General features: G+C 51.7%; 1 protein-coding gene across 24 annotated transcripts in view, besides 2 other annotated features; it reads left to right on the top strand.

Moving 5' to 3' along the window:
* Window positions 1–21,097, top strand: part of KSR1 (kinase suppressor of ras 1) — a 169,988-nt gene that overhangs the window by 125,705 nt on the left and 23,186 nt on the right. For 9 of the 24 annotated variants that reach the window (XR_934587.4, XR_007065523.1, XM_047436989.1 and 6 more), the window contains 9 exons: window positions 494–953; window positions 3,505–3,509; window positions 6,323–6,383; window positions 8,659–8,742; window positions 10,209–10,270; window positions 10,368–10,474; window positions 15,116–15,284; window positions 19,208–19,249; window positions 19,741–19,806. Coding sequence is in view for 22 of the 24 variants with exons in the window: in XM_047436989.1 (XP_047292945.1) it covers window positions 494–953; window positions 3,505–3,509; window positions 6,323–6,383; window positions 8,659–8,742; window positions 10,209–10,270; window positions 10,368–10,474; window positions 15,116–15,284; window positions 19,208–19,249; window positions 19,741–19,806 (1,056 nt within the window). In the remaining 2 variants the exon portion in view is untranslated. The other 15 variants (NM_001394583.1, NM_001367810.1, XM_047436987.1 and 12 more) reach the window with 11 other exon arrangements.
* Window positions 8,149–8,650: an enhancer, noted in NCBI's record as "H3K4me1 hESC enhancer chr17:25917327-25917828 (GRCh37/hg19 assembly coordinates)". NCBI's record gives its function as "activates a minimal SCP1, AML or CMV promoter by ChIP-STARR-seq in naive H9 embryonic stem cells {active_cell/tissue: H9 hESC(naive)}" and the evidence as "EXISTENCE:reporter gene assay evidence [ECO:0000049][PMID:30033119]".
* Window positions 8,651–9,150: an enhancer, noted in NCBI's record as "H3K4me1 hESC enhancer chr17:25917829-25918328 (GRCh37/hg19 assembly coordinates)". NCBI's record gives its function as "activates a minimal SCP1, AML or CMV promoter by ChIP-STARR-seq in naive H9 embryonic stem cells {active_cell/tissue: H9 hESC(naive)}" and the evidence as "EXISTENCE:reporter gene assay evidence [ECO:0000049][PMID:30033119]".

Genomic DNA, 21,097 nt, shown 5'->3' on the forward strand with positions numbered 1-21,097 from the left:
AGCCAGTTCCTCTCTGGGCTGTGCTTCCTCCTCTGTAAAACAGAGATCCAGGTTGAGTATCCCCTATTTGAAATGCTTAGAACAAGAAGTGTTTTAGAGTCTGGGTTTTTTTAGATTTTGGAGCATTTGCAGTATGCCTACCTGTTCAGCATTCCCCATCCCCAAATCCAGAGTGCTCCCATGAGCATTTCCTGTGAGTGTCATGTCGGTGCTCAGAAATTCCCAAGTTTTGGAGCGTTTTGGATTTTGGATTTTCAGATTAGGGATGCTCAACCTGTGGTAGTATCTGCGCCGAGGGCCTCATGGTTGGCTAGATAATGTGTGCGCATGAGTGAGCGGCCTTTATAAACCAGGTAAAGGTTGGTAGTTGAAGCCTTCCCTTAAGAAACAGTGCAGCCTCACACCAGGTGTTGAACATCTCTGGCCCCTAGCCATCTCCCCTGTGAATTCCTTCCAGCCCTGACCATCTGTGACTCCACGTCTTGGTCCACAGGAGGGGAGCACAAGGAGGACTCCAGTTGGAGTTCATTGGATGCGCGGCGGGAAAGTGGCTCAGGGCCTTCCACGGACACCCTCTCAGCAGCCAGCCTGCCCTGGCCCCCAGGGAGCTCCCAGCTGGGCAGAGCAGGCAACAGCGCCCAGGGCCCACGCTCCATCTCCGTGTCAGCTCTGCCCGCCTCAGACTCCCCCACCCCCAGCTTCAGTGAGGGCCTCTCAGACACCTGTATTCCCCTGCACGCCAGCGGCCGGCTGACCCCCCGTGCCCTGCACAGCTTCATCACCCCGCCCACCACACCCCAGCTGCGACGGCACACCAAGCTGAAGCCACCACGGACGCCCCCCCCACCCAGCCGCAAGGTCTTCCAGCTGCTGCCCAGCTTCCCCACACTCACCCGGAGCAAGTCCCATGAGTCTCAGCTGGGGAACCGCATTGATGACGTCTCCTCGATGAGGTGAGTGCTCCTTCTGGGCAGCTACCAAAAGTGCCCTCTGTGGTTTTCTAATCATAAAGATATATGGAAGGACCAATAAAATCAACCCCTATAGACGTGTGTAAAGTCAAAAGTAAAAGGTGCCCCCATCTTTCAGTCCATTCCTCAGACTACTTTAGTGGTGTGGGCTGAATCCTTCTAGATTTGGTTTTGTATGTACACGTACATGCACATGACGTGATGCCACGTATGGGTCAGGGTAGGCCAGGTTACACAGAAATAACAGATATGCCCAAATCACCAGGTCTTAAAGGAACAAAGATTTGTTTCTTGCTCATGCCGCCTTGTCCATCTTGTCCATCATGGGTCAGCCTCCTTCCGGGCCCAGACTGTCTGAACATTGCTGGCCACGGTGGCAGAGGGAGAAGTGAGTTCCAGATGTCATGCCCTGGCAGCTGCGTACTCCTTCTTGGAAGTTCCACCCACCATTCCTGGCCCAACCTGAACAGGAGAATGAAACAGTGCTCTTTGCCCACACGCCCAGGAGGGGAGAACTGGAATATTTGGCAGAAACCACTAGTGACTGTCAGATACCATACCATCTACTCTGTCCCATGACTTGTTTTTTCAACTTCCCTTGGTATCTCTGAGAACATCATGTCAGTACATCTTGGAATGTTTTACTCTTTTGTTTAGTTTTTGACTTACAAATTTTTCTATCTATATATTTTGAACAAGTGAGACAGTCACATGGTCCAAAGCGCAGCAGCTCTGTGGCTTCTCAGGGTACGTGGTGAAAACTCTACCCCACCATTTTTATTCAGTCACAGGGTTCCCCTTTCAGGAGCCAACCAGGCTAGCAGTTTTGTGTATGTCTATAATTAATTAAACCCCATTTGTTTGACTTGTTCATATTATTTCGTTGTATAGTTTATCTTGTCCCTTCTTGATGGGCGTTAGATCATTGTCTTTTTTGTTACAAAGATTGCCCTTGTCAGTATACCCTTGGCAGCACAGAAAGAAAGGGAGTGTTTTCCTTGGGTGCCTCTTACCTTCTTGTACCCCTGAGGATTGGGGCACCTGGTTTCTCTCCTCGGCATGGGCACCCCTTTCCTACGCTTGATCTTAGCCAAAAGGCCGAGAAGCAATAAGGGCACCCTTTTTCTAGGGGGTTCCTTGGGCCCTGGTGTATCTTGGGCCTTGGAGTCATCTTTGGAACGGGCCTGATCCCCTCTCCCAGTGCATGCTGTTAGGGTCCTTTATGGGATGGAGCCTGGACAGCTCCGATGGGTTTGAGTATGCTGCCCAAGGAGGAGAGATCCAGGTGTCACCGACCCTGCTGCTCCCACTCGGGCTGTCCTGCTGGGGCCTGGGTCCCACCCAGAAGGGGCTGTAGAATGCAGTGATGATGGCCACACGAACATGGGTCAGTCAGAGGAGGCCTCACAGTGGGCTCAACCCAGTCCCTGTGTTTCTGTCTTCTCCCAAGAAGAGCATTAGGAAAGCTGTGGTCTCATTCCCATGCTAGAAGGTGGCAGGGACACAGCTTCAGGCAGATGACACAACTAGCCTCAAACTCCAGCCAGTGACTGAGCCTCAGACCCTGGGATTCTGAGTCCAGTCCCTGCAGAGCTACCAGAACCAGCACTGACGTGACGCTCAGGCCACCTCGCTGTTCTGGTGACCCCTGAGTGCTCTGCTTCCTCCAGCTCCATGTGTTCTCAGGGGCAGTGGCTGCCCCCTGGGGAGGCTCAGGGTGTGTCCCTGCCTGACTCTCCTTTCAGGGGCTACCTCTGCTCTGCACAGCTGTTATCTCTGCCCTCCTGTCCAGCCACACCCTTGCCAACTGATAGTTATTTTTTCTTTTTCTGAGAAGGAGTCTTGCTCTGCTGCCCAGGCTGGAGTGCAGTGGCGCAATCTCGGCTCACTGCAACCTCCACCTCCCGGATTCAAGCGATTCTCCTGCCTCAGCCTCCCGAGTAGCTGGGATTACAGGCATGTGCCACCACACCTGGCTAATTTTTGTATTTTTAATAGACACAAGGTTTCATCACCTTGGCCAGGCTGGTCTTGAATTCCTGACCTAGGTGATCCACTCGTGTCAGCCTCTCAAAGTTCTGGGATTACAGGCATGAGCCACCAGGCCTGGTCTCTCCAGCTGACTGACCCCTTTTCTTGCCTGGCTCTGGGCCAGGCTCTCCCACTGTGAGCCATGTGACCTACTGAGCCTCCTGAGGCTCAGTTTTCTTGACTGTGAAATGGGCTGAACTCTAATTACCATGCTTGGTTGCTGGCGAGGCTTACGTAAGCTAATGTATTAAAGTGCACAGCACTGAGTTTAGATGTCCCCTGGGGAGGCCTGGGGAATGCCCTTCTAGTCCTTTCCATTGAGGAAATGTCCCCACAGAGATTGCAGGGGTTCCCAGAGTCAATCAGCCAGTCTGGCCTCAAGCCAGGCCTCAGAGTCCTACGTCCCAGCCCCTTGCCTGCTCCCGCCCAAGGGTAGTGTTCTAGGAACACGCCGAGCCAGCGTGGTGACGTAATCCCCCTCTCTGCTTTTTGTCTCCTCCAGGTTTGGTAAGAGAGATTCATTTCCATCCCCTCTACCACCTGGGAGTCGTGTGTGCGTTGCTGTCCCCATCGGGGGTGGACCTCTTTGACCCACCTCTTAGCCCGTTCAGCCTCTCCATAGTCCAGAAGCAGAGGTGCTGGTGACCACCTCAGGAAATAGCCCTAAGACAGGTGGCCTTAAAGTGACTGGCTGGCTTCAGCCCAGCTGGTGGCTGCTCTCTGAGAATCAGAGACCTTGAGCACATCTCAGCCCACAGGCAGCCCCATGAAGAGCCCTGTCTCCACCTTGCCCTTCCCCACCGAGACTCTCCAGCAGGGACTCTGGCCTGCTGGGCTGCCACGGTAAAGCAGCACCCCTGGGAAGGCGGTGCCATCTGCCTGATTTCGCTAGACTTTAGCCATCTCCAGAACCCCACCTGATGTCCTGGGATCCCACTCTTCAGGAAAGGGACATTCCTGGAGGCAGAAATGTAGCGCAGCTCTGAATGAGGCCCCAAAAGATGGGAGATGCAGAAGCCCCTTTGGGAGGAGAGGACACCTGGGCAACCCTTGACCCCCTTTCCCACCCCCACCTCCAGGTTGGGAGCACGTTCCTGCACGTGGCTATGCTGTGGGGCCTCTCTCATGAGTCAGAGCGGAGGGAGACAGCTGTGCCTCTGGAGTCTGCTTTTAATTGTCTGGAAATGCAGAGATGTCTGGTTTTTGCCTGAGCAAAATAGGAGTTTATTTTTGTACTATCCCGAGCTGGCTAAGGAGAGTCACGTAGCTGTGGGCGGGGTCTTGGGGATGAGGAGGGGTACAGCAGGCAGGGACTATGCTGAAGTGGAGCTGGCTGTAGGAACCCCAGGGAGGCACAGGGGGAGCATGAAGAGGAGCTACACTTCCCTCCCTTAGTGCCCGGGCAGAAACTCCCAGGGCCCTTCACAGAACCTTGGAGGAACATTCAACACCCCCATCTCTAGGACAGCCCCAGCCTTGTCATCCTCCAATTGCTGTGGTAACACGGGGACTGGAGCAGTGAGATTATTAGGCCTTCAGGGCCAGTGTCTCCATGCAGATCAGATGGAGGCGGTGCTTGGCACATACACCACCTCACTGCCCATGCCCCCAGAAGTTGGTGCAGATCATAAGGTGGCTTTTGGGGCTAATTGATTGAAGTTCCAACATAGTCTGTTTCTCCTAGGCTGGTAGCTGGCACCTTTGGCCCCATGTGTTTTTTAATTATTTTTTCTTTTGAGACGAAATCTCGCTCTATCACCCAGGCTGAAGTGCAGTAGTGCAATCTCAGCTCACTGCAGCCTCTGCCTCCCGGGTTCAAGCAATTCTCCTGCCTCAGCCTCCCGAGTAGCCAGGATTAAAGGTGCCTGCCACCACACATGGCTAATTTTTGTATTTTTAATAGAGACGGGGTTTCACCATGTTAGCCAGGCTGGTCTCAAACTCCTGACCTCAGGTGATCTTCCTGCCTCAGCCTCCCAAAGTGCTGGGATTACAGGTGTGAGCCACTGCGCCCAGTCATGCCCATGTGTTTTGGTGGTCTTGGCTGCTGATGGGTGGGGTGAGCCCCAGGAGGAAGTTGGGACAAGTCAACCTCATGGCAGATGTGCCAGGGAGAGCTGCGGGTGAGATAGATTGTTCCTATCCCCCTCTCCTTGATGTGGGAGGACTCAGTACCTCCAGCACACCCTTCTCATGGAGGTTGGTTATGTGGTACTTGGCCTCAAGTGAACCAGCACTTCATGAGTCCAGCTTTGTGCTAGACCAGCACTTGGGATTGAGGGGGGCAGTGGCCACCCTCGGGGGACCTTCTGACTCAGAGGACATGAGATGGCCACACTCGAGCACTGTGTTCCTGACCTTTCTGGGTCACAGGTCACCTTGATGATTGGATGAAAGTCTTAGATCTTCTTTCCAGAGAAAAGTCTACAACATTCTACTGAACCAGTCCAGAGGGTTCCCGGACCCCCGAAGCCCACCCATGGGCTGGCTCTGGGAGGCAATGGCGCTGAGTATGGGGGCGTGAGTTGAATGTGCGGGCTGCCGGTGGGTGGAGAGAGTGCTTCCAGCAGCTTGTCTACTGCACTAGGGATGCCTGTTCTTACGGGGAATCCCAGGCTGGGAGAGGGAACGTCCTCCGGAAGGCCAGCAGCAGGGGCATCCCAAAGCGTATGGCCCTTATCTCAGCAGAGAAGGAGGGTGCCCAAGAAGTCCCCAGAGGCTCAGGCTTGTACCTGGGTGGGGCTGGCCCACTCGAGAATGTGGTAAAGCTTCACCTTGTCCTCGTTCTATCTGCCCATATCTGGCAGTGGCCTCTCCCAGAGGAATATCCTCCAGGGGCTTCTGCCTGGAAAGGCACTGGATGGGCTGGCTAGCCTCGGCCCTCCACCTGAGGTAAACAGCTTCAGCCATTTACCAGGAAATACCCAGAATTGAGCCCCTGCACACTGGGGGCCTGTGGTGTGTCGGTGAGAGGTTGCAAGAGGTTGGGCTGTGTAGAAGCTTCTGCCCTCACTCTGGCTTTGCCTTCTGCCTCTCCAGCCTGCCTTCTTCCTCATCTGGAAACATCACAGGGGCAGCTGACTGAGCCATCCTCAGAGGCCAGGAGCAAGCTAGAGGACCAAGCGAGGCGAGGGGAACCACACCATGCCACTGGGCTAGCCTGGCCTGCTCCTGTGTTGATGGACATAGATCAGGGAGATGCTTATATAATAAACCATTGCGCCCCCCTCTAGCCTGTGGTCTCTGAATTAGGAAGTCATGGGCACGAGCTGTCGCCTGCGGAGTTCCTCAGCCTGCCCATCCGGCCTCTTTCCCTGCAGATCTCTCGCATGGATCCCCACAGATGGTACGGAGGGATATCGGGCTGTCGGTGACGCACAGGTAGGCACAGCGGGCCTGGAGGGGGAGCAGGGCACAGCCGGGCTGGTACCCAGATGGGGCCAGGAGTTCTGGTCACTGTTTCTCAGCGAGCTCTTTGCCTCTGACGGGCCTGTCCATTTCACCTGTGGGACATGGCCCTGCACTTACCTGGAGCCCTCACCTTGCCAGGGTGGCCACATGGACTTGCAGCTCCCTCATCTGCACCTCCTCGGGTCTCTTCCTCACTCTGCTTAGGGAAAACACTTTCCTTCTTTCCCAGGACACAGGTCCCGGGAGAAATAAGGTCAGGGTCATGGGAAGGAGTCACAGGAGCTTCCCTACATCCAGTGCGATGTCACATGAGTCCTGAAACTGGCCGCATATCAGAGTCCGCTGTAGAGCTTGTTGAAAATCCAGATTCCCGGGCTCCACCCCTAAGGTTCTTGCTCCCCTCACCCCCAGTGTTGATGTGAGAAGTAATTAAAACCCAGTGAGGGAGACAGCACGTGTGCATGTGTGAGCCTCCACAGACCTGGTTGCATCTTGGGGAGGCCGGATCGCAACTCCTTAAAAGGCACGCCATGCAGTTTGGCGTCCCCTGCCACCGGAAGCTCCCATCTTTGTTGGGTGGAGAGAGTAACATTTATGGATCTCTGCTACCTTCCATTTACACGGCGTATCTGTGATCCTTCCCAAATCCTGTGAGGCTTAGCATTAACCCTATTTGCAGAGGTGTCTGAGGCATCTTACAGCTGGTAGTAGGCAGAAGGCAGAATTCAAACCTAGCTGTTTGCCCCCAGAGTCTGTTCTCTTTCCCTTGTGCTCGGGGCCTTTTTTGGCCTCTGCTGGACCAGTGGAATCTCTTACCGAGAAGCTCTGTAACTCTTAAGTTCAGAGAGCTGGGATCCAGACCCTGTTACACAGCATCCCAACTGTGGCACCTTGGGAACATCACCTGACCTCTCTGAGTTAGTTTCCTTGGCTGCACACTAAGAATCCTGGACCTGCCTCACTCCCTGGCATGGGCATAAGAATCAAATGAGCTAGTGTTGGTGGATGCATTACAAACTACTTCCTAAATACTGTTGGCATTCATTCTGTTGTTACTGTGATATACGTTAAAAAAAATCTGTGTTTCCAAAAATATGAGTTATTTCTGCTCTTAGGCCTCCCCACCCTGTGGACCAGCCTTGCACTTTTTTTCTGGAGGACACCACCCACTCAGCCCCCATCCTTCCTTCAAATCTATCTTTCGTGTTTTCTTTAATGTTCTACATTTTGGATTGAAAATACACTGATACGTTGAAACGTCAACAGAAAATTGCCCTCTTGTTCCTGTCCCCAACTCCTCAACCCCCTCTTTAAAGAGGTCTTAGCTGTGTGTTGTCTTCTAGAGATATTTTATACAAACAAATATGTATATATGTTTCCTCCTTTATTTTTTACTCAAATACTGCATATGTTATACACAATCCTATACTCTGTTTTTTCAAAAATGGAGATACAATTTATGTAGAGCAAAATGCACAAGTGTGTGTGTGTATGTGAATTTATGTATTCATACACACACACCTGTGTATACCATCCAGATGAAGATGAAGAACATTCCAGCACCCAGAAAGTTACCTTTAGTTCTCCCTAGTTGACAGTGCTACCATCCAGTGGTTACTATTCACTTCTATTGTCATAGCTTAGTTTTTTTCCTGTACTTGAACTTCGTGTGAATGGGATCATATCTTATTGTACCTTACTTTTTTAACTTGACAATGTGATTTGGAGATCATTCCGTATTTGCACAGAAAGAGCGTCCTTGTTTTAGTTTCTTGCTGCATAGTATTCCATCGTATGGAAAGACCATATTTTAGTCAGCTCCTATTGATGGACACATAGGTTATTTTCCGTCTTTATGCTGCTAACATGCTGCAGGCATACCTTGTCCATATATCTTGCAACACATGTGGGCCTATGTGTTGGATAAATTCCTAAGAATTCCTAAGAACTGTGGGGTCAAAGGGTATGCGCACTTGTACTCTTGATTGCTGCTGCCAAATTGGTACTGCCAGATGACCACACCAACTTCAGCATATTGACAATGATGACTTTGCATCTGGGAAATTTAAATGTGAGGGGAGAAGCAGTGGCCCGTGGGTATCTCTGTCCTCTCTGGGAGGGGGCCAAGGGGCTCTGGGATGGAGCCAAGACTCCCAGTTGCCCTGGAGCTCCATGGGAAACCTTCTGTGGCTGGGCCTTGGCCTCCCAGCTGGTGCAAACATGTGCCTGTGTCCGCCCTCTGCAGGTTCTCCACCAAGTCCTGGCTGTCGCAGGTCTGCCACGTGTGCCAGAAGAGCATGATATTTGGAGTGAAGTGCAAGCATTGCAGGTGATGGGAAGAGGAGTGGGGGTGGGGGGAGCAGACACTTTTAGTTCAGTAAATCAAATGCGCTTCCCTATGCTTGCTATTCATAGTCCTATTCAGCACACCAGGGAGTGATCAGGTCTCTTCAGGGAGACTAAGCAAGTTACTCCTGGAAGAAGGGAATACTTGAGGTGGGCTTTGAAGGATGAATAGAAGTTTACAAGGTAGACCAAGGGGAAAAGAGAATTCCAGGCCATGGGTGCATCTTGTACTAAGGCCTGGAGGAATATGAGGACTGTTCTGGGACCTGTAAGGAGTTCTGAAGTTTAGCCTTGCATTTTGTAGCCCTCGAGAGGTGGCAGACAGGCGATGGTAAAAACAGGGAGTTGGCTTGCGGAAGGGGAGAGTGAGCAGAGGGTACAGATTCTGTACAAGTCCAACTTTATTTTCTCATGCCTTGTGGTTTCTGGTGGGAAGGAAGGTCAAGGATAGGGAACAGTGTGGGCTAGGCAGAGTGTGTCCCCTGCTGTCCGGCTGTCCTCACCTAATGCAGGGAGGCCTCGGAGGCTCGGTGCCCAGCCCACTCTGCCCCTGCATTGCTGTGTGATCTGGGGCAAGGCACTTGCCTTTCTGGGCCTGATTTTTAATGTATACATCAACCATGGGGATGGCTCTGAGAACCTGAGCTAGTATGTGTGATTGCATCTGGGCTCCAGTCAGACCGTAGATGGTGGGTCTTGTGCATATCAGCTGGACCCATTACTTTCCCAGCGACTCTCCTGACCTCTAGGGAGTTGCTGAGTTTTCTCTCTAGTCTGGGTCTCCTGTGGCTCCTGGCCACTTGGTTTACATTAGGGACCTCTAGCTCCCATCATGTGGGGAGCACAGGATGACCTCTGAGCCCAGGGCTGTCCTGCGGTGCAGTATGAGGTTGATAGGACACCCTCAGCCCATTAGTGAGAAATCTAAGACTCAGTGCAGAAGGCAGGACCACAGTGAGAATCCAGTTCTTTCCAATCCTGGCCCGGGGCTGACCCTCAGACCTCACGGTCCATTGCACAAATGTAGCCGGAGGGGCTGCCCTTTGGGTCCCTGGGATTCTTTGGTAAAGCAAACATTATCTGTCTAATTCTTTTTTTGTAAGTTCAGATTTGTCTTGAGCTTTTTCAATATGGGTAGAGGGTCTCCTTTTCTTTACAAAGGAAAAATAGGTGGGCAACCTGGGGCAAGTCGAAGTGGGCATCATGAGACCTGCTTTGCTGTGAGGATGGATAGATGACAGCAGAACGTGGTAAATGCTCAGCATAGTGGCTCAGTGTAGCAGCTGCTATTACTATTAATATCATGATGTTCTCTACTTTCGAGCTAACATTTGTTGAGAAGTGTGTGAAAATGGAGACAGTCCTGAGTGAATGCTACACAGAGCTACCCCTGTGTGCCTGAGCCCCCCCATGTGGTGCTTTGCACACCAACCTCCCCTTCTTTACCAGGTTGAAGTGTCACAACAAATGTACCAAAGAAGCCCCTGCCTGTAGAATATCCTTCCTGCCACGTGAGTTTTCTGCCTTCCTCTCCTCTGCCTTCTGGATTTGGGTGAATCTTTAGCTTGACCTGTTCCCTGGTGATGGGTTTTCCCTCTTTTCAAACAGTAACTCGGCTTCGGAGGACAGAATCTGTCCCCTCGGACATCAACAACCCGGTGGACAGAGCAGCCGAACCCCATTTTGGAACCCTCCCCAAAGCACTGACAAAGAAGGTACGCTGGGTAATGCTGGGGAGGACGCCCTTCTGCCACTGGCCTTCCTTCCTATAAAGCACCCCTGCCTCAGAGGCTCAGTGGGGAAGTTTGGCATGACACCACCGTCTCAGATTTGTGGCCAGAGGGTGGCCTTGGGGATCATATCTTGAGCCACTAGGAGGCTTTACATTTAAGTTGTGGTGGTACAGCCGTGATTCCCAGTCCCTTCTCCTTTGAGCTAACACTTCCTGTGTGCTTAGTGTGTACTGGAAACTTCTTCCATTGCTGTTTCATTTGAGCCCCACAATAGTTCTGAAGGGTACATATGGATCCATTTCACAGGTGAGAAAACAGCACAGCATCCCGAGAGCAAGAGACAATCCCAGAGTGGTAGCCTCGGCAGCTGCCCAGCCCCAAAACCTGGGCCCTTAGTCACAGTGCAGCAGATACACCTTCAGTTGTTCATTAAAGCAATTGCCATGGCAGCCACCGAGCAAGGCTTTGCTGCCCTCACAAGAATGCACCCAAAAGTAATACAAAGAGTGCATTTCCATCCATAGCCAGGTCAGGCTTCTCTGCTGAGGCAGACGGGTGTCCTCTGCAGCTAGACAGAGTCTGCAAAGCCTGTGTCCCCCAGGAGGGTTGGCACACCTGTCATGGGCCTCTTTGCACAGGTATGCCTGGCATCTGGGAGGTGCCAGTGCTGATGGCTTCTGACAGCAGCTCCCATCCTGGCTGGCTGCTGGGTGCAGGCTTCTGGCTGCTGTGGTTTTGGCTGTGTATTTTTAAGTGTGTTCTACCTGCAGCCCCAGACCAGGGGCTTAGCGTGTGCCCCCCCGATGAGCATGTGCCCAGTTGCCCCGTGGCTGTGGCTGGCCATGTGGCTCAGGCCGGAAGAGAAAGACAGGCAATGTGGCCAATTCATACTGGGGACCCTGAAGATACAGCTTCAGTGGCTGCTCTGAGAGAGCCAGGGCCACCTCTTACTGTCAGACAAGAAGGCCGGCTGCCCCAGGCCTGACAGTCTGCCATGGGCCTGCACCTGTCCTCTCTCCTGCCTCTCGTTTCCCTCTGGTGGTAGCTTCTCACCCAGAATGGGGAGGCAGCGGGAAAGATGATAGGGTCCTGTCTTAGTGTGTTCAGGCTACCGTAACAAAATATCATAGACTGGGTAGCTTAAAAACAACAGAAATTAGTTTCTCATGGTTCTGGAGGCTGGGAAGATCAAGGTGCCAGTAGGCTCGATGTCTTGGGAAGGTCCACCTTCTCACAGATGTCACTCGTGCCGCATCCTCCCATGGTGGAGGGGCCCAGCAAGCTCCCTCGAGGCCTTCCATGAGGGCTCCAGTCCTGTTCCTGAGGGCTCTGCCCTGATGACCCAGTTACCTCTCAGAGGCTCCAGCTCCCAGTACCACCTCCTTGGGTGCTAGGGTTTCAGCATGTGAGTTGTGGGAGTTCACAGTCATTCAGACCACAGCAGCTGCCCAGCCCTGGCTTTGAGTTCCAACTCCTCTCTTGCTTCCATGACCTTGAGTGAGCCACTTGACCTCTCTGAGCCTCACTTTCTGCTTTGTAAATTGGGGTTACTAATGCTTCATTCACAGGGTATTTGAAGGGTAAAGAGAGAATGTTCATGAACTTGTAGGGAGCAGTACCATATCATCAACTAGTAATTATTTTCCCAGCCCGTCACAGATAGGATCAATTCCTCAGCAGGAATGCAGTGCCCCCTGCCCCCATTGCCAACAATGTCATAATTGCCCCTGCCTCTCCTCTCCAGCTACACCAAGCACACCCCCCATGCCTGTGGGTCCTGCACGACCACCTGCCCATCATGTTCAGTCCTGCATCTCCACCCACCTGGACACCACCCCTCAGCCCTCCTCACAGCACTCTCTCTCTGTCCCAACTTCCCCATGAGCCCCTCCTGCGTGCACCTGCTCGACCTCTAAGTCCATACAGTGGTGGTGCCAGAGGCCTCTCATCTCTGAGAGCAGTGGCCCTCCAGGATCCCACTGAAGGTTGCTATGATAACATAAGCTAACCATTACTGAGTTCTCACTAGGGGCCACACATGGTGCTGAGAGGTGTTTATCCTGTTCCCCTTTGACCTCTTTTCCCGCTACCTGCCCCTCCACCCCTGCCCACCCCACATTCCCCTTCAGCACAGATGCTCCCTGAGGGCCCAGTGATGCTGTCTTGCTCTCGTTGGCACCAAGCACAAAATAGGCAGTCAGGAAACCAGCATATTGATTGTTGAATGATTGAACAACGCTATGACCTGGCAGCTGTTACCCCCATACTATACAGTGGCTCTGAAAGGTTGGATCATTTGTCCAGGATCACAGAGGGACTGATGGAGGGTCCTGAGCCTTGGAGCATGAGTGAGAAGAGGGAGGGCTCAGTGGATCCAGCTCCCACTTCTAGCTTGGCACCACATGATGTCAACTATCCCTGGCCAGTAGATTCCAGAGGTCACTGTGTACCCCAGAGCCTTCACAGCCTGCAGCAAATAAACCTGTTGAACTTAGCATTTAACCCAACTTGGCCTCAACTTCTTTAACCAATAATTCCTCTCCCACCCCCAGGGGAATTGATGTTTGCATTCAGGAAGCACTGGTCAGATCCAGGGTCCTGCCTAATGTAGAATCCCCCTGGAGCCCTCTCTCTGTTGGTCTTTTGGCCTTGCTGGGACCCAAACTTCTGGGTGCTCCTAGCTAGCAGGTCTGCAAAAGAATGTGGAACAAACATGTATTAGTCACCTGCTATGTACCACACACTCCCACCTTTGTGATGCTACTGATCAGCGCAGTAACGCTCTGACATAGGTGTTGATGTTTTATTTTTGTGGTTGAGGAAATGGAAGCTCAGAGAGGTGGAGGAAGTTGCCTAGAGTCACCCAGCTAAGTGGTGGTGGAAGCTGGCTGAGAATTCCAGTCTGTCTGCCTCCAAACCCAGTGCTCTTTTTGGCCACAGGGAGAAGCTGGAGCTTAGGCCTCTCTCCCTGCCCCCCACTTTCTCCCTTCACCCCCCTTTTCTCATTTCTAGTGCAGCAGCCCTCCCTTCCCAGGGCTCCCTGCCCCCCACATTCTCCCTTTGCCCCCCTTTTCCATTTCTAGTGCAGCAGCCCTCCCTTCCCAGGCCTGTCTGGTGGTGCTTTGCTCCCACAGGCTCTTGCTCGGAGCTGTGAGATGCTGGTGCCGTTCTCAGGGGTCTCCTCTGTGCTGTGGCTGGGGAGCCATGGCCACAGGCATCCTGAAGCCGGGATCATGCCAGGCCCATCTCCCATGACCGTGGGCAAAGCCCTTGGCTTCCCTGGGCCCTTCTCCCCTGAGCTCTGCAGTGGGGCCATGGTGGCACGTAGCGTGGATTGAGTTGATAATCAGTGCCGCCCAAACTTCATCAAAGCTGAAAACCATCTTTATGGTTTCTGTCTGAACCAGGTACCACCTGGGCTAATACTTACTTATAACACTTCATTTTTATGTAATCATCACTATCGTAATTGGAAAAACCATGATCCCTACAGATAGAAAGTAATCATTAAAACAAGCACAGTTAAAACCAAAAAGTTACTAAGCTTCATCTGGTTATCACACTTGCTTAAGGCTTGGAGCTTGAAGCCCTCACTCTGTTGAATGGGCAATGAGCCAGTGTTGGAGAGGCATTAAAGACATAGCAGCTCAGGCCGAGGCCTTCTCTCAGGCAGAGCAAGATAGGAAACAGAGTGCCCCTCCTCCCTGGCGCAGCATCCTCTGTGTTGTGTCCAAGGGCTTCCTAAAGATGTCTCACTAGGCACCAAACGTGTTTCCCATGGCAAGCACTGGTTGATGTGATCCATTAGCAGGGGGAGCATGCTTGCTTTGAGTGTGGAAGGGATGACATTAACATTTAAGTTGGGACAACATGAGTGAACCAGGCCTGTCCTGACAAACCAACTCCTGTGGTCATCTTCTAGAAAGTTCTTTCTAGCTCCAGAATTCTTACCCCTCCAAAATGGCAGACCGCACTAGCCCAAGCCATCACCTCTTTCAGGGTTTTGTAGTTTGACTCTAAGACTTCACAGTGCCTTTGATTCAGCCAGGTTTCCAAAGAAAAGGACTGTACACCTCTCGCTTATCATTGGTCTCCCTACTTCTGGCAGAGTGCCTGGTGCCTAGCAGACATGATATAACATTTATCAGAGCCTGAACTTAATTCATTATAAAATGCTAATGTGTGCCCAGCTCAGAGCCAGTCACTGAGTATGTGACGGTCACCCTGGCCTCATGGAACACACAAGGTAGTGGGAGAGACTTTCATCAGGAAAGTGCCCGTGGACATCTGCAGTAGACACGGTGCCCTGATGAAAAACTGCTGGGAACTGTGCCAGGATGGAGAGGAGGAGCGTGGTCCCAGCCAGGGTGCAGGAAAGGCTTCTGGGAAGAGTGTGCTTGAGCTGAAATCAGAAAGCTGAGCAGGAGCCCCCCGGGGAGTGAGCACTGAGGCGAGGGCCTCTGTGCGCTGCCCTTCCTCAAATGTTAGATGTGTAAAATGTCAGACCCTGAGGATTCCCTGGGCTGACTGCTTCCTTTCCAGATGGGGAAGGGAGGGTGTGGCTGGTGGGAGGCAGGTGGGGCCAGGACAGCCCTGCCATTCCCAACATCTCTGGTCCTGCAGGAGCACCCTCCGGCCATGAATCACCTGGACTCCAGCAGCAACCCTTCCTCCACCACCTCCTCCACACCCTCCTCACCGGCGCCCTTCCCGACATCATCCAACCCATCCAGCGCCACCACGCCCCCCAACCCCTCACCTGGCCAGCGGGACAGCAGGTTCAACTTCCCAGGTACCACATCTCCAGGCTTTTCTGGGTTCTAAGGGATACAGTCAGATCCCCTTCTCAGCAGACCCAAGTTCGGCAGATTCAAGGTCAGACATGGCCACAGCTAAGAGCTGATGTTTATGAAGTACTTGTCCGGCGCCCCAAGCACAATAGCTCTGAGGTTGATGCTGTTGTTTTACAGATGGGAATACTGAGGTTCAGAGAGAGGGAGGGGCTTGCCATGAGTTGTACAGCCTGTAAGTGGCAGAATGGAGATCAAACCCAAGTCTGTCTGACATAACATAATCCTCGCACTGCCCTCCTCTTCATGGGGTGGCCTCTCCTGGGCAGTGCTCACTTTCTCGGGACTGGCTTCTGAGCTCCCAGGAGGCATGGCCAGCAACACAGGGAGCTAGAAGGCCTCAGGGAGGGAATCTGGGGTCCTGCTGCTTCCCACTCGTGATCTGGGTAAGCTCCTTCAAGGAGACCTCTCGTTCCCTTTATAAGATAGGTGACCATGTAAAGTTGGAATTAGGTTGTTCCCATTGTGTGGATGAAGACACTGAGTCCCACAGGAGTTTAAAGCAGAGTAGACCTGAGCCAGAGCTGACCTCCAGCTCCACCCCAGCCCACTGCCTGGTGTCTGTGGGGAGAGGTCAGGATTCCAGCCTCTCCTGCCCTCAGCTGCTGGCCTGGGGGTGTCTGCCTCTCCAAGCAGCAGAGTGAAGCCCACCTGCCCATTTTGGGACTGAGCTGCTGCCTCGGCCTCCCTGGCAGCTCCTCAGAGTCAGTCTCAGCCTTCAGTTTATTACAGTTCGCAGTCCCAGAGGAAGGAAGGTGACTGTGACACTCCTGTTTGCTCTGGACCCAGCCACAGGCCGTCTCCAGCCCATAGAGTCCAGGTCAGGCCCCTGTCTCTGGCCTCTGGAGCTCCAGGTCCATGAGGACAGGCACAGCTCTCCCTGTGCCAGGAGATCCCCAGCTGGAGCCATACCCAGCCAGCAGGAGGCCAGGGAGCTTCTCCTGGGACTTCTTTTGGGGACGGTGGAGACGGAGATCTTGTAGGAATCTCTCTCTTTGCCTTCACCTCAGCACGCACGTGGCTGGATATCTCCTGACATTCACGCGTTGTCCTGAGCACACCCCTCCCCTCCCTGCATTGAGTGATGGCCCATTTGATTAACCTCCTCTCCCATTCTGCTCTGTCTTTATTATGCTCTGAAACTGTGCCTTTTGCTAAACCTCCCAGTTTGGGTTTTTGTAAAAGCAAAGGGTGTGTTTGGAACACGGCAGTCACAGAAAAAGTTCTTTTTGCACAATCAGCCAGACCCTTGCTGCTTTCCCTGATGTCCCCAGATTGGGCCTTCATCGTCCCCTGCACAGAGGCCTCACTCTCTCCAAGATCCTGTCTCTTTGGTCGTGGCAGCACCAATGGGTCAACCCTCCCCCCAACCCCCACTGCCCGCCCGGCTGGCCCGGTGGTTCAGCTGGAGAAGGCACGCCTCCTATCGTCCCCTGCTCTGTGCTGTGCAGGGGCATTGCACTTGAACTTCAGGGGTAAACCTGGGAAAAGATTATAGTCACGTGCTGCTTCACAACGGGGAAATGTTCTGAGAGAGAGATTCCGTGATTTCATTGTTACGTGAGCATCATAGAGCGCACTTACGTAAACCCAGATGGTATAGTCCTCCACACGCCTCGGCTGTGTGGTGTAGCCTGTTGTTTCTAGACTGCAAACCTATGCAGCATGTGACTGTACTGAATATTGTAGGCAATTGTAGCACAATGCTAAATATTTGTGTATCTAAACATCTGAACACAGAAAAGCTACAGTAAATATACAGCATAAAATATTAAAAATAGGGCTGGGCACAGTGGCTTATGCCTGTAATTCCAGCATTTTGGGAGGCCGAGGTAGGCGGATCACTTGAGGCCAAGAGTTCAAGACCAGCCTGGCCAACATGGTGAAACCCCATCTCTACTAAAAATACAAAATTAGCCAAGTGTGGTGGCACATACCTGTAGTCCCAGCTACTCAGGAGGCTGAGGCATGAGAATCGCTTGAACCCAGGATGTGGAGGTTGCAGTGAGCTGAGATTGCACCACTGCACTCCAGCCTGGGTGACAGAGCAAGACTCTGTCTCTAAATCAGTCAATCAGTCAATTGTTCTTTATTTGTAGGGGACTGGAAGCTGCTCTGGAAGAATTCCTGTACACTATTGTAGACTTTATAAACACTAAACACTTAGGCTATACTAAATTTATTTTAAAATATTCTCCTCAATAATAAATTAACCTTAGCTTACAACTTTTTTACATTATAATCTTTAAACATTTTTTTTAACTTGGACTCTTTTGTAATAACACTTAGCCCAAAACAAACATATTGTATAGCTGTACAAAAACTTTTTTTTTGAATTTTTATAAGCTTTTTTCTATTTTTAAAATCCTTATTTTTTCTTTTACTTTTTAAACTTTTTTGTTAACTAAGACACACACGCTAGCCTAGGCCTGTGCAGCCTCAGGATCATCAATATCACTGTCTTCCACCTCCACATCTTGTCCCACCGGAAGGTCTTCGGGGCAGTGACATACATGGAGCTGGCATCTCCTGTGATAACAGTGCCACCTTCTGGATACCTCCTGAAGGACCTGCCTGAGGCTAGTTTACAGATAACTTTTTTTTTTTTTTTTTTTTTTTGGTAAGTAGAACAAGTATACTCTAAAATCATGATTAAAAGACTGGATGTGGTGGCTCACGCCTGTAATCCCAGCACTTTGGGAGGCCAAGGTGGGCGGATCACCTGAGATCAGGAGTTCAAGACCAGCCTGGCCAACATAGTGAAACCCCGTCTCTACTAAAAATACAAAAATTAGCCAGGCATGGTGGTGGGCTGGGTGCCTGTAATCCCAGCTATTTGGGAGGCTGAGGCAGGAGAATCGCTTGAACCCAGGAAGCAGAGGTTGCAGTGAGCTGAGATTGTGCCATTGCATTCCAGCCTGGACAACAGAGCAGGACTCTGTCTCAAAAAATAAATATATAAATAAAAAAAATTTTAAAAATGATTAAAAGTACAATATAGTAAATACATAAACCAGTAATACAGTTGTTTATTCTCATTATCAAGTAAGATGCTACCGTGCATAATCGTGCGTGCCATCCTTTTATACAGCTTGTAGTTCCGTGGATTATTTCCCGCCAGCGTCACCACAGACACGTGAGGAATGCATGGTGCTGCCCTGTTACCACAGCTACCACATCACTAGGCAAGAGGAATTTTCCCACTCCATTATAATTAGGGCCACCGTCATGTATGTGGTCCCTTGTTGACCAAAACAACATTCTGTGGCACATGACTGTATTTACACCCCCATTTGACAGTGAGACAGCTGGAGAGGTTAGCCAACTCCCTAAGGTCCCAGAGCCTAGTTATGTGGCAGAATTGAGGTTGGAACATGCTGTCAGCTTCCAGAACCCCAGTGTATCCTTTTCAGTCACCTATGAGAGAGAGAGAAAAAAATGTGGGTAGGGAGTGGTAAGGTTGAGACACTCTGGAGGTACAGGTGGGGCTCAGGGGGAGGAGGCCATTCTTCCGTACATAACACTGTTAAACTTTTCAGAATCACTGTTTCTCTCCCATTGTATTTTGCCCTTCTGGGCTCACATGCATTTCACAGAGTGCTGGTGACCGGAGACGGGGTCTTGGAATGCCCAATCCTCCAGTGCAAGCCCCTTTAGTCCTGCAGACTCCTGCCAGGGCCCATTTTCTCCCAGCTCTTTTCCTCCTTCCTGCATGGTTTGGCCTGTCCTTGCCAGGTCCATCTGGGGTAGGGCTGTCCCAGCCCAGTAACAAGTCCCTGCCTCCCAAGCCGGTACCTGCAATTCCGCTCCTCCCTCCTGCGTTGGCCGTTCTGTGTGTGTGACTCACCTCCTCTTCTGTTTAAAGCTGCCTACTTCATTCATCATAGACAGCAGTTTATCTTTCCAGGTGAGTCCTTTGCATGGTTCCATTAACTGCCCTTTGCTGTGACCCCTTCTGTCCTGCCCACCTGGGCAGGGCGCCCTCTCTCTGGGTACCTTTGGAGATACTTGAGTCTCCCTCCACCTGTTCTGAGAGCTGACTGCCCATAGAGGATGGGAAGAGGGCAGGGCAAGTGCCCTGGTGGTAGGCCTCTTACGTGAGAAGTTCTTGCTGGGAGGGACCCTGGAATCCATCCCATCCAGCCTCTTGGCACAGAGACTGCAGGCAACCTTTTCAAGGTCACACTGCTAGGAGATGGCAGAAGGACTAGAATCTGGGTTTATAGAATGGGGAGAGGACTTTTTGCTAATGCCTTATGAGCATATGTCACCGTATCCTCCCTTGCACAATGATGGGAGGATATCTTATGCACAATGTCTTAGAGAAGTAGAAACCCATTTGGGAAGGTCTGCGGGCTTCTCTTAGTGGGCTTCACCCTTCTGTGCCTTACCACACAGTGCCATCTGCTGGCCATTGCTGGAAATGCCTCCTTATTGCAGAAAGTTTAAAGGAAAACGCTTTCAGTAAGTCAATACATTGAGTCCCTTCTGCAAAAGTTGTTTTCTACACTTACTATGTACCAACCTTTTCATTCCTGCCCCTAAAGTGCTTGAGATCAGTGCTTTTTACTGTAACTGAAGGTGATGAGCATAATGGTGTTTAAAACAAAGACTGTAGCTGTTTTTTTTTTGGATTGAACAGGACTGTCTTGAAGTCACAGTATTTTGGTTACTCCAGGCTTTTCTATTCCCTAAGCCAGCTCCATTAGGGGGTTGACTTGGAGCATCTGTGAGTCCTTAGAGGACCATCCATATGGCGTTGCTCAGGTGTGTGCAGGGCAGCAGTCAGGGCCCTGAGAACCCGCCTCCCGGAGGCTCCCTCTGAACAGCTGAGCAGCCTCTGCAGTTTCACACCGGTTTTTTGTTGTGGTTCCCCTGGTTACTAGCTCTAGGATGCACGCAGGGAATTACCCCAAAACATTGGGAAGATATGGCTCTTCTCCCAGAAGGGTCCATTTTCCCCCGAAGATATGTCACAGGGAGGGCAAGGAAATACATTTTTATTAAAGCAAACGTGGACACATTTTGGAGCAGAATGCATGATACACTCTTAACTTTTAAGCAAAAGCATGAGGATTCAGAGAGGCATTTTGCCTTCCCATCTGGGGTTTGGGGAGAAACCACACCCCAACTCTTACTACTTCCCTCATGCTTTAGGTGTGTGTTTGCCTCCTTTGGAACATTTGAGCAGTGTGGGATGGGTGGAAATGCCAGGCCCCTGCTGGTAGTCTGCAGACACACTGTGTCCGGGGGAGGCCTTACCGGTAGAGGCTTCTAAGGTTCTGATCCCCCAGAAATTGTGCACAGGATGTTGGGCACATGTGTGCATTTCCCTGATAAGAAGGCCCACGGCCTCTATCAGATTCTCCAAGTCTGTGAGGTCCCAGAGATGTTGACAGCCTGTGGTTCAGATGACCTTCAAAGGCAGAAGAAAGCCCTAGAAGAAGGTCGAGGGAGGTCTTTTGGCTGAGCGGGGAGAGTCTTTGTCCACACAGGCAGGAGAGAGGCCTTTGATAGCTTCAGCCACTGCCACTTCCTGTCTCTCTTTTTGCAGAAAAGAGCGGGGAGTGAGCCGTCCATGGCGGCCCTGGGGCCACCAATCTCCCTGTAGCACTTTGGTTCCATGCTGGAGTAACCTTTGGTTCTGGTCTTCCTGGACGTGGGACTTTTAGCGCCAAAACTGGGAACACCCCAGGCTCAGGGATCAGCCCCAGCTGCCCACTCTTGGGCCCCTGATATGTGGCGTTTCTTCCTC

Source organism: Homo sapiens, chromosome 17, assembly GCF_000001405.40.
Source record: "Homo sapiens chromosome 17, GRCh38.p14 Primary Assembly".
Lineage (NCBI taxonomy): Eukaryota > Metazoa > Chordata > Mammalia > Primates > Hominidae > Homo > Homo sapiens.